Raw genomic sequence first — 13,650 nt, forward strand, 5'->3', positions numbered from 1 at the left:
CTTATTCTCTCAATCATATAGCAACAATCTTTTTCTTTGTCACAGTGTCAACACTGTAAGACTTCTGAATATAGCTATTTTCTCTCCTCAGTAAACTCCTATCCTTTTAAAAACACATTATATATATAATATTTATATATATTATATAATATATACATTATTTAAGGGCACAAAAATAATCTAGTTTTGTAAAGTTTTCTTAAATCAATAAAGTTTAATTTTCTCAAGTTTAGAAAACAAGAAACAAGAGGTTAGCAATTATATGTTTCAAATGTTGTATCTCCAGATATCTGCAGCAAAATGTTTTTTCACATTTTATCAAAAATAAGCCCACACCAACAACTGCTAAGATACCCTTAAGGAAAACAAATATAGCCTACCAATGGTCAGAGTGAAGAAGGAGCTTTCTTGACGGCTCAATATAGATAGGTTCCCTTGACTTGAAGGTACCATGCTGGCATACTCCAGTTCCAAATTCTGGCCAGCATCAACATCAAAAATATCACTTTTCTCAGGGAAGCCCATTACTCTGAGATTACAATTGGGCTTCACCTTAATGGGAACACCTACAGCATTTTTTACCGTAAAAGGAGCTCTGTCCTTTAAAGAGTAGTCAAAAGTAGAAGCAGTGCCCTCTGAAAAACCCTGAAAAGGAACATATCATCACAGTAAAATTTTTGAAAAACATACATTCTTCCCAAAACCTATACCATAATTACACATTTTTTGGAAACTAATTTTGATGACAAAAAAATTATATGTTTCATTTTAAAATTCCACTTGAAATATTCTAAGCAAGATTCAGACATACTTTTGCTAAATTGTTGAAAACATTAAGACAACTTTTGGATATTGTTATATTCATTGTATTTCCTGAAGAAATATGAATTGCCATTTGTGGCTCAGGAATAAAATCATCTCCTGGCAGCAAACTTTTATCCTGAACTGGGTTCTTCTTTACCTATGAAGAAAAATAACACAGCAAATTTAAATTATTAGCCAGTTGATAATAAAATAAAAATGCTGGAGTTCAGTTCTCCTAAACTGATCACTTTATAGTAATGCTTCGCAAAAGTCTTATTTTCAAAAATATACCATGCTTCACTTTGATTTCATGGAGTTCAGCATTCATTCTTTCAGGGTATAGTCCAAGCATGGGGAAAAGTTTAGAATTACGCCATGAAATTACTCAAAGCCAGCTACAATATTTGTCTCTTATGCATTCCTCAGAGCATAGCTATTTATTCAGTGTCACCCAACTGGTGATTATGTGTTGACGAGCAATCTAAGAGGACCCTGAAGTCTAAACTGATCCCTATTAGAGGTGCCACCTGGAAATGTTTCTCTCCTTCTATTTTTTAAACCAATAACACCTTCAAATAAGTAATATTAATATAATAAACACTTAACTAGCCATCAGATTCCATCAGCTTCTGTTCTAGTAGTATTTCAAAAGCCTTGTAAAACATTCTTTGTTAGCCTCCCTATGCCAGAGAAAGGCAGGTCAGAAAAATATTACTTCTTTATTGAGAGGAAATTGGAACACAGGTTAAGTGACTCATCTTTAACAAAAGAATATGTGGAGTCAGTTTCAGTGCCTGACTCCTTAGTAAGGCTGCCCCAAAGAAGTATGCTACGACAATTTCTTAACAATATATGACTCAAGTTCCTTTTAATCAAGAAAAATGTGCTTCAGTATCTAGGTTTCTGAGGTGTTCTCAAAAAACAACATAAAAAGATAACACACAAGAGTTCATTAACAATTCTCAAATATTCTGGTCTCACCCTTAAAAATCACTGAGTATACTAAAGAGCTTCATTTATGTTTTATCTACCAATATGTACTCTATTAACAATTAAAACTGAAAAAAAATTAAAAATTCATTTAAAAATAAAAATTACATGCTAATATAAATAACATTTTTAATCAAAAATAACTATTTTAAAAATACAGTGAGAAGAGGAACATACACATATATCTCTTTACTGCCTGCCTTAAGGGAAGACAGATAAATTCTCGTTTCTGTTCTGCATTCAATCTGTTGCAGTATCACCTTCATTAGTCTCTGGAAAACTCCACTATACACTCGTGAGAGAATGAGAATGAAAATGACATATGAAAAGAGTTCTGACCTCATGGACAGAGCCCTTAAAAGGGCTTCAAGGATCCTAGACCACATCTTAAGAATCACTGAAATAAAAACTATGAATGAATATGCATAGTATCATTCTATCCAAAGATATTTTAAGATTTCCTTACATCAAGCCTTAAATTCCATTGTCTCTTCCCCTCCACTCTCTCAATCAGTGGCTCCCAGACAGCATGGATCTCATTGTAATAGTGCACCTGGAAAGATACACACAAAATTATAAGACAGTCCTTTGGCTTTAATTACATATTTCTGTAACCAATAGGGAAATTATTAAGTAATCAATGTTATATATCATTAGCCATTTTCAAAACCCATCTAACAATATATAGAGTGTATTTTCCTTTACTCTCTTACTCTATTGTCATAAATTATTTAGCAAATCAATCTTTAAAAAATAATTATCAAAAAACAATACATCGACAAATTAAATGTCAGAACACACTATCTATTCACATATGTACTCATAGTGGCCATGCACAAACAAGAAAAGTGTATATCTTAATTCCAAAATCGCACTTTCAAGAAGTCTCTGAAGGTATTAAGTGATGTGGCCATACCTGTAGTGTCACGTCAGCAACAGCAGCCATTAGAGAAGTCCAATTTTTAATATTTCCTGAAAACTTAGACTCTGCCAATAATAAAGGTACAGTTCGATGTCCAAGGCCACATTCTAAGGTAACTTGAATGGATTCTACAACAACACCACAATTTTCCTCTATCAGTGAATGTTCAATGCCTTTGAAGCTTTCCGTTATTTCTGTTGCCGTGTCAACACCAAGAAACCAAGTGTTATAATCATTAATCGATTTGATACCCCAAAGATTTTCCATTTCCTTAGACGTATCTTTGGATCCATCTTCTTTTGTTTTTGGAGACAATGCAGCCATGATTGTCAACACAGTATTAAGAATTATGGGTGAAATCTTTAAAAAAGAAAGCAGAAAAATATTTATAATAAATTCTTTCCCAGATGAGAATATATACATACATGATTTTAAGTGACATACATTAATTATAAGTGACATTTTTAAATTAAATTTTAATTTTAAATTAAAGTAACTAATTTAAATTTTGAATAAATTCGTAACCAAGAAAAACAAGAGAGAACACAAAATTATGTGTCAAGCCAAGTAATCATGCAACACTGACTTCTACTCAGGTTATCTGGAATTAAATAACTAATGTTATATGTCAGTAGTCAAAATCTAAAGTTAAGCTGATCAATTCAGAGCAAAACAGTGTTATGTGAATAGACAAGTATAGCAATGTAAACAAATTCTTCATTTTAAAAACAGCTACATTAACTAAGCCAAAGTGTGTGATCCTTGTCAAGATACACATAAATATCGGTATGCAACAAGATCTTCTGAAAAAAAAAAAAAGGAAGAAAAAGATATACATTTGCCTTATTAAAGCTGGAAGACTCAAAATCACAGCTCTCCTTTGACTTACCCCAAGATCTATAAATCCTACCTCTTATTATCTTTGGACAGTGCCTTTCTTTGCTCACTTCCCTCACTTCCTATTACTGTGCCTTAGTTCTACACTGATGACATCTTCTACGGCCAACGCCCTCTCAGCCTACACTCCACACTGCCACCAGCATAATTTTTCTACAAACCAAATCTGAGTATGACATTCTTATGTTTAAAATCTTCATCAACTTCCCATAATTTTTTTATCCCACAAGATAAAATTGAAACTCTCTTTAACTTAATGTGCAGAGCTCTTTGTGGCCTAGTGCCTATTCAACCAGCTAGCCAGGATTCTCCCAAAGTTTGAGAAATACTAGGTTAAATAAGTTAACTGTATTCCTTTATTGTTCACTTCTCACAATCCTTACTTAAAATGTAAAGGGATATAATTATATCATCAAAAGCAGGATCTAGTATGTATTGTTTTCCTAACTTACTTGTCAACTTTTTTTCCGTGTCTTATTAATGTCACTTATAATTAATGCTTCCAGTCTTACAACGCCACCACACCATTCTCTCCAGCCATATGTGACCACCCCTCTAAATCTTTTTTTTTTTTTTTTTTTTTTGAGACGGAGTCTCGCTCTGTCGCCCAGGCTGGAGTGCAGTGGCGGGATCTCGGCTCACTGCAAGCTCCGCCTCCCGGGTTCACGCCATTCTCCTGCCTCAGCCTCCCAAGTAGCTGGGACTACAGGCGCCCGCCACTACGCCCGGCTAATTTTTTGTATTTTTTAGTAGAGACGGGGTTTCACCGTTTTAGCCGGGATGGTCTCGATCTCCTGACCTCGTGATCCGCCCGCCTCGGCCTCCCAAAGTGCTGGGATTACAGGCGTGAGGCCACCGCGCCCGGCCACCCCTCTAAATCTTAAAGGATTTTTTCACACCTCTGCCTTTGTGCATATTATCAGTTCTGTCTGGATAAACCTTTCCATGCTCCCCATCTATTTAATCTCCCTTCAAAACTCAAATCAAATAGTCCTGCTTCTACACAGCTTTCCCTGATGTCCTGGTCTGAATTAAAGGCCCCATGCCTGTGCTCCCAACTGCATCTTGGCCATGCCTCTAGCACTGAAAGCTGTAATCACTGATTTCTTTCTTTCTCCCGCATATGTCATTAAGTTTTTTGACAGCAGGGGCTACATATCCCCAATGCCTTGTAAAGGACATTTTTTTAATACACAGTAAAAGCTCAAAAACGTTTTTTGAATCAATCATAAATTTATACACAAAGAATGTAAAGTCTCACCAGCACCTAACCTAGTGCTTTAAAATATGCAAATTCGAGGAGTTTTTCCCTCATTTACTACTTTATATATTTTTAAAAGTAAATCCATTAACAATATACATTCTAAGACTATCCAGTATTTTAAAATATTGAGAAAAAACTAAATTGATATTTACATGGTACTTCAAATGAAATGAGTTTGAGCCTTAGTTCAATCACTGTTGGTCACGGACCTATATAAGTAAAGCTACTACCATTATTGGCATTAACCAATTAACCAAAAAAGGACTCATTTTTGTATCCTTTGTGCAAACAGAGAAATAGATTGCAGAAAGTATTCTATATCTTCTATTCGTGACTGGGCACGAGGTATACTTAAAGAACCTGAACGCCATTGGAAAACAATAATTGTTTTTCAATGCTTTAAATGTAGTGAATAAAACAGTAAACTCCAATAATTATTTCTAGTGTACATCTGTCATTATAAATATTTGAAGCCAAATCATATAGTTATTAAATTCAATCAACTTATACATCAAATAAAAGCCTAAAAAGAACTTATTACAAATAAAGTAATAACAACCTCTTCTCTCCATCCCTTCTTCCCTTCTCTTCCCACCCCATATCTCTTCCCTCCTCCAACTCAACCCCCACAACACACGCATGCAAATAGAATAGAGAAAAACTACCCTGATCATTTGTAGATATTAAAAAGTACTCTTTTACAGAAAATAGAAACAAACATTTGCATTAAAGAAAAATATACTTTAATGTTAGAAGTTACTGATTACTGAATATGTGACTAGCATAATGCTTGAGTTATGAGAGACATCAAAAGATACTGTCTCAACTGCAAATATGCAATGTCGTGAAGAAAAATAAGAATTTTCACTCAAAGAATATGGTAAGTACTAACCTTAATTATAAATTCTTTAACCATAATATTTATATTTTGCTTTCCTGAAGCCCACGTACATTTTTCCATAAATAAAGAACAGGGCTGCAAGACCTATAAACAGATAAATGAAATTCACATTTCCATAGATCCATTATATACATAACACACACTTACAAGAACCATGTCTTACTTAACTTGGGATCTTTAACTACAGCCTGCTATTATACTAAAAGCAAAAAAGCAAAAATAAATTAGCTGAGACTCTGTTGTGAAGACTCTTCTGAACTATGAGAAATCTGTGAACACTGGAAAATCACTTTAAGCCGTTCTGATGAATTTCATCATGCCAAATCCTTAAGTAATAAAGCAGATTTACTGTTTAAAATGTTTCTTTCTGCTAAAATAGTTTTTAAATGATGGCCTCTATAAAATATACCTTTGAAATATCTATAAAAGTGAGCTAAAGACTGTGGTAAGGTAGGTAAGTAAACAGTTTCCCGATGCTTGACAGGTCAGTCTGAAATATCATGTAAGGCCTTTATTAGAATAAAAGTCAATTCATCAAATTGTGAAGCCTATATTCTTATATATCATTAAAGAAACGAATAAATAGGCTTGTACCTGAACTGAATGGAGCAATTAGTACGGCATAATTGTCATTTCTTAAAAAATAGGATGAGGCCAGGTATGGTAGTGCATACCTATAATCCCGGCACTTTTGGAGGCCAAAGTAGGGGGAATGCTTGAGGCCACGAGTTCAAGACCAGCCTGCACAATATAGCAAGACCCCCTTCTCTACAAAAAATTAATTAAAAAACAAAAACAAAACTAGCCAGCTAGTAGTCCTAGCTACTCAGGAGGCTGAGGCAGAAGGATTACTTGAGCCCAGTAGTTTGAGGCTGTAGTGAGCTAAGATGGCATTACTGCACTAAAGGCTAGGTGACGGAGTGAGACCCTTGTCTCTAAAAGAGAAAGAATTAGGAAGAGCTAATTGATATAAACTTTTGGTGACATGTATAAAGACGATCCTGTCAAAGAATATTTCATGATAAAGTATAGACTTCATACTTTCTTTATGCAAGTCATTTTGTCCACAAATTTTTTACATTTAAAATGCCACTGCAAATTAGTCACATAATATAATGATTCTCTTACCATAAAATTATCAATACTAGAAAATAATTGGTGTGGTAATTAACTGACTAAAATCATATGTTTCGATAATAATATGAAAACATAATTGACATTCACTTTTAATAACAGCAGAACACCACCGCTTTTGGCGAAGTGACTCCAATTTAATTTTTTTCATTCTAAGCCTAAATATTCACTCATTCATTAATTAGGTATACCACGGTGAACAAAAGAAACAGTTGAAAAAGAATATTAATTTGTACTAAAATTCAAACACTACTCAACAGAAGATGGTATAATGAAAATAAAACCGTTCTGAAGGTAGTCCCCAGTTCTGTCACTAGCAGCCATGGCTAAGTCATTTAACATCTTTGGAATTCAATATCTTTATATGTAAAACCCCAAGTTCACAATAAATAATCTCTAAAGTCCCTGCAGAGCTCTCATATTCTAGGATTCTATGAATCAACTGTTTCTGCCATTCTTCAACCCAAGATTAGGACACAAGGTAATTCTTACTGTGGTAATGTTTTTCCCTCTCTTTTCTCTGAGAAAAGGGCAAGCGAGCACTTTCAGATCTCTCACAGAAGCTTCCATCATCTGTTCGAGTTTGGATGTTGACAGAGAAAGGTTGCACTGAAACGAGGCTGTCAGAGCAGGAGCATCAGCCTTTGTCAGGCTGGCAACAAATACCACTTCTGGATCTGTGATCATGGCCTTTAAAGTCATATTTGGTCTAACAGAGTCATCTGAAGAAACAAGCAACAGGAACCAGAAAAGTTTAAGGTAAGTCTTTTCATTTGACTACATGTTATCTACAAGTTGTTAAGTTGTTCTCAATGTTTTTCTATAACAGATATGGTGAAACTGACAATATTAATTGGTTAATTAATACTAATTATTAAATGATTATTAACAAATGCAGATTGAGCAAGATAAGGCAATCTGATCCCTGTCCCAAGAATACCATTACCACTTTGACCTAGCAAGAATAATCCTGTTTTACACTTTTACACTGTTGGCGGGACTGTAAATTAGTTCAACCACTGTGGAAGTCACTGTGGCAATTCCTCAGGGATCTAGAACTAGAAATACCATTTGACCCAGCCATCCCATTACTGGGTACATACCCAAAGGATTATAAATCATGCTGCTATAAAGACACATGCACACGTATGTTTATTGCGGCACTATTCACAACAGCAAAGACTTGGAACCAACCCAAATGTCCAGCAATGATAGACTGGATTAAGAAAATGGCACATATACACCATGGAATACTATGCAGCCATAAAAAAGAATGAGTTCATGTCCTTTGCAGGGACATGGATGAAGCTGGAAACCATCATCCTCAGCAAACTATCGCAAGGACAAAAAACCAAACACTGCATGTTCTCACTCATAGGTGGGAACTGAACAATGAGAACACATGGACACAGGAAGGGGAACAACACACACCGGGGACCGTTGTGGGGTTGGGGGAGGGGGGAGGGATAGCATTAGGAGATATACCTAATGCTAAATGACGAGTTAATGGGTACAGCACACCAACATGGCACAGGTATACATATGTAACAAACCTGCATGCTGTGCACATGTACCCTAAAACTTAAAGTATAATAATAATAATAAAAAAGAATAATCCTGTTTTGAAGTTCTTTTTATCAGAATTAAAGAATGTGCATGTACGCAGGCATAAGTATATATTATATTGCAGGGGCAAGAAGGGGAAAACTGGAAAGAATATCAGGAAGAGGAAAAGAGACCCTGATAAAATAGATTATTATTAGTTGTTTCTTTCAATTTCACCCAAAAGTCCATAGTCAATGTCATATAATCTATACTGTAAATATATTCAATGCATATATAAATATAGCAATATCAGATATGATCACTATTTAAAAAACATTAAAGGTAAATTTTAAAAATAGCATTCTTACCAGGACATATTAGTTTTCCAATCTAGGTTATACATTAGAGAGAAAAATATCTGACCTTAGACATTTATAATTTAACATAGAAAAGTCACTGATCTGGCAGGAGCAAGGTGTAATCCACAGCACTTGGGGAGGCAGAGGCGGGCGGATTGCTTGAGCCTAGGAGTTTGAGACCAGCCTGGGAAACATGGCGAAGCCCCATGTTTACCGAAAAACAAAAAATACCAGGTGTGGTGGTGCACAACTGTGGACCCAAGCTACTCAGGAGGCTGAGGTGGGAGAACTGCTTGAGCCCACCTCAGGAGGTGAAAATTACAGTAAGCCAAGATTACACCACTGCACTCCAGCCTGGGTGATACAGTGACAGCCCATCTCGAAAAAAATTTTAAAAAAAAAGGAGAGAAGAGGAGAGGAGAGAACAGGAAAGAAAAGGAAAGAAAAAAAAGGGAAAGAAAATAAAGAAAATCACTGATCTACTGGATAATGCTGGAATAAAAGAAGTACAGAGCTGAAAGTGGCTTCAGCATACACCTAGACCAGACATTTGCAAACTCTTCCACAGAGTTTAAGGAGTTAAAGCGACATCCAGGGAAGTCCTGCTGGGTCCTCCAAAGTCCCCGTGTTCTGCTTTAATATTTTCAATTGTTCTTCAATGTGCTAGAATTCTCAACATGTTTTCTTTGAATAAGATACCCCACCTATAAAACAGGCCACTAACCACTGACCCAAATTAACTTCATTTCTGGATCAGTAAAGAAATGTTCATGGCACAGTTGGAACCAGCGGACTTTCCTGGCCATTGGTCCAATATCTACTGTACCTCTCTCTTAAAAATGTTTTAAAAAACTAAAAAGCTAAAGTTTTTATATAGAATATGTTTAAATATAAAAGACTAATTTTACGTTCTTAAATTTTTCATTTCTCTTTTTTCTGGTTTGTAATTCTTGTCAAAATATACAAGTTGTCATCTATGACAGATAAATTCTGCTAACCTTTCTCTATCTTGACCTTCCCTGTGGCAGTCTGTCTTGGTAAAATCTGTGTTTCTTTTGCCACATTTTCTGGACTCTGAGGCACAGCTTTGATAAAGAAATCTGCCACAGTCATCAGAAATTCCACACTGGCACATACATACAGCTTGTCAAGAACAGCATCAATTTGACTTCCATTTTTGTCTTGTTTGTAACTTATATCAATCATAGAACTGTTGTTATCTTGGTCATTCTTTCTGTCAATCATTCTGAAAAAAAACATGCTATTCATTATTTTATTCTTGCTAAAACAATAAAAAAGATGAAGAATTTCCTATATACCTCAATAATCTTTATTTCACCTTTCAGTTTCTAATCTGTATAGAAAACAGGTCAACATTAACTAGAATCTAATTTATCCATTAGTAAACAAGACTACTAATCTCCAAAGCAAGATATACGTTATTAAGCAATTACTGAATATTTTATACTTACAATGCAATTCTATATGTTATTGCATTATAATGCAATTTTTGAGTATTACATTATAATGCAATACTAAAGAAACAAACCAATAATGGCCGGAAAGGAATTTGGGCAATTAACAAAACAAATCAGTGTAGTCACACAAAATAAAGGCAGCCTTTTAATATTATTTATGAAATAAAACCTCCCTGAAGGAATTTATCTTCAAAGATCATCCTACGAAAATTTGAGTCTGAAAGTATTCAATACAACTCAAATCATCAAGTGTTTATCAAGTGTGCTCAACTATAGTTCCCCTACGTCCTCCCATGAACTGGAAAAAGCAGGCTACCTAACAGATGATAGCATTTATCACCCTTGCCGGGAGAGCTGTGGACAGCTACTCCAGACACAAAATTTGCAAACTAGAAAAGCTGGGTGCATGACAGCACTCTTCCCTCATTTATTCATCTCTCAGAAAAACAAAGGGCTCACAAGTATCCCATATGTATTCAATGGAGTCCAAGTTTAAGGAGCAACACAGTTTTTCTCAAAAGCAACAACAAAAAAATCAGATACAAAATATTATGTCTCATTACTTGAGAAAAATAAAAACATAATTAGGCTATTGAAAATTACATATTTCCCATTTTAGAATGAGCTAATATAACTCACCCTTTCAAAAACGGCTTGATGATGTGAATGCGCTCGAGATTCTATTTCTATTAAAACTTTGAAAGAAATTTTGCATAACTGTTTTAAAAAGACATGATCAAAATAAACATGATGAAGGAAAAATCCATAGCTTGAAGGCTTTTTAAAACAAAATTCTGCCTACTGGGAATAATTTAGAAAAATACATCACCAAATATATCACCCCATGTGGATTTAACTATTAAAACTCATTTTCTCTTAGTTCCCATTCTAAATATGTTACTCCATTTTATAATTAAACTTCCCTTTAACTTAACCTTTAAAGCAGCTGAATCTGATATTAGCACTACTTCTTAATGCAATTCAAATCAGGAAGTATGACCAAAAGACAGAGATCTTTTTTGGATGATCCCTAGCCTAGCAATGCCTGGCAGCCATGCAGGTGCAATGTCAACCTTAAATAATGTATTGCAAACTCAGAGCTGACAAACCTCGATGTTGCTCTCTCAATTCCTTCTCTGAGATCATCAAGGGTGCATGTCTTAAGTTTAACGCTGACATTCATTGAGCCATCCTTAAACATCTTCCCTGAGGAGGCCATAAGATGTAGTCTGAGTTCACCAAGTTGGAAACTGTCATTATGAAATGCAACTCCAGATTCCTATGGTACATTTTTCAAGCAAAAGAATCAATTACCTTTAAATATTATATAATTACTTTTAAACATATTACTTAATTCAAAACTTAAAGGCAAACTGATCTCATGAATTTTAAAAGTATGAGTGCTAAAACATCTGAATGGAACAGAGAATAATATGCATGTTTGTGAGCATACCTGTACATACAAATAAATAGATATATGTGTGAATATCCAACAATGATTAGTATAGAAAAATTTATCTGATTTACAGTTTAATGCAAATAAAAATAATTAGGAAAGAGCTGTCAATTCATCAATTAATCTAACTAATAAATTTTTTCTTTTTTTTTTTTTTTTGAGATGGAGTTTCGCTCTGTCGCCCAGGCTGGAGTGCAGTGGCGCGATCTCGGCTCACTGCATCCTCCACCTCCTGCGTTTAAGCAATTCTCCGCCTCAGCCTCCCGAGTAGCTGGGATTACAGGCGCCCACCACCATGCCCGGCTAATTTTTTTTTTGTATTTTTAGTAGAGATGGGGTTTCACCATCTTGGCCAAGCTGATCTTGAACTCCTGACCTCATGATCCGCCCACCTCGGCCTCCCAAAGTGCTGGGATTACAGGCATAAGCCACTGCGCCCCGCCTCTAATAATAAATATTTAATGAGCTCTTCCATTAAAAAACAGTGATAAGATTTATGAGGTTTACAAGAAAGAGTAAGGCATGGTAGATGATGTGAATGAGCATATACCCTAATTCCTTGAGAAAACAAAATAGAAATACACTAAAAGGAACATCACAAGAAGATGCTATTAGTTGTAAATGATTAAATATTTTGTGACATACAGTATTTTATTCATTCATATTTATATCTTCTCACATTTCACAAAAGCCATTTAGTGGTTAGGTAAAGAGTATAAATAGTAAAAGCTCAGAGAGGTTGAAGAGATCATTATGGCTGGGGAAAATTCATAAAGAAGGTGAGAACTTAACAGAACCTCAGAGGCTGAGTGGGATCAGATAGGCTAAGAGGGTGGCAGAAGACACTCCACATGAAGAAAAAACATGAACAAACAATTCAAGATGCTTTAGGACATAGGATACAGGGTGATTGGGCTTGGATACTCCGATTAAAGAATGGTAGGGAAAAAACTAGAAAGAAATACAGAGGCCTAATCGAAGTCTCAAATCCCAAACTAAATATTTAAATTTTCATGTATAGAAAAATGGACCTCGATCTTTATTCTACCATAACATATAATTCCAAATTCTCTCAGTATGTCCAGATTTAAAAAAAAAAAAACCCCAGCCAATCAACAAAAACCTTCAGGGAAGTGATGAACATCCAACACCATTGCTTACTAGAGACCCTGGCATTGATAATAGGGGTGCTGGGTATGTGCAATCATTGGCACACTGGTTAGAACTCCACCCCTTCTCTCACTCAAGATAGTATGTTGATGCAATTGGGTCAGAATGACATTATTACTGGCAAGCTTTGAATGCTTTTAACTTATGAAAATGGAAATAATTCACAAACTTTTATTCTGTAATCATTAATAGCAATGACCTGAGACACATCTGCTGATGACAACACACTAATGTTTCCTGATAGGATTACTGATATGGTTTCCTGATGTAGACAATTTGGAGCCACTGAATTTCTTTCCATAATATGAAATTCAGATTATATAACACAATGTTTATTAGTGGAAAGGGAAGATGGAAATGGCTACATGACATTCATTTAGGAAACTGAAGTTGTGCCAATATCTAGGATGGATGAAAGGTAAAAAATCAAACAAGGAAGTCATTGCAGTACTACAAGTGTAAGAAGAGTTTCAAATAAAGCAGCAGTGAGAAGTGATAGAAAAAAGTAAATGTTTATTCAAAGAAAAACCTGACAGTACTCAGCATCTCAATGAATAAGGAAGGCATACAAACAATGAAACAAAAGTAGACATCAAGATTCTAAGACTGCAGAACCAGCAGAATGATGGTACCAAGTAAAATGAAGAATGAATTTAACTGCTCATTTTTGGTAAGGTCATTTTCTGATGTTGTAATGAGCATTAAACATTAGAAAATAAGGCAGTTCATT

At 35.0% G+C, this 13,650-nt stretch overlaps 1 protein-coding gene across 9 annotated transcripts in view; it reads right to left on the reverse strand.

The window, feature by feature from the left end:
• Positions 1-13,650, reverse strand: part of VPS13C (vacuolar protein sorting 13 homolog C) — a 208,059-nt gene that overhangs the window by 67,298 nt on the left and 127,111 nt on the right. For all 9 annotated transcript variants that reach the window (XR_007064464.1, NM_017684.5, NM_020821.3 and 6 more), the window contains 8 exons: positions 11,404-11,573; positions 9,815-10,062; positions 7,405-7,634; positions 5,770-5,862; positions 2,711-3,076; positions 2,261-2,347; positions 812-961; positions 381-645 (listed from right to left, as the gene is read on the reverse strand). Coding sequence is in view for 8 of the 9 variants with exons in the window: in NM_017684.5 (NP_060154.3) it covers positions 381-645; positions 812-961; positions 2,261-2,347; positions 2,711-3,076; positions 5,770-5,862; positions 7,405-7,634; positions 9,815-10,062; positions 11,404-11,573 (1,609 nt within the window). In the remaining variant the exon portion in view is untranslated. The remainder of the gene's footprint in view (positions 1-380; positions 646-811; positions 962-2,260; positions 2,348-2,710; positions 3,077-5,769; positions 5,863-7,404; positions 7,635-9,814; positions 10,063-11,403; positions 11,574-13,650) is intronic.

The sequence above is a fragment of the Homo sapiens genome, chromosome 15, assembly GCF_000001405.40.
Source record: "Homo sapiens chromosome 15, GRCh38.p14 Primary Assembly".
NCBI classification, from domain to species: domain Eukaryota; kingdom Metazoa; phylum Chordata; class Mammalia; order Primates; family Hominidae; genus Homo; species Homo sapiens.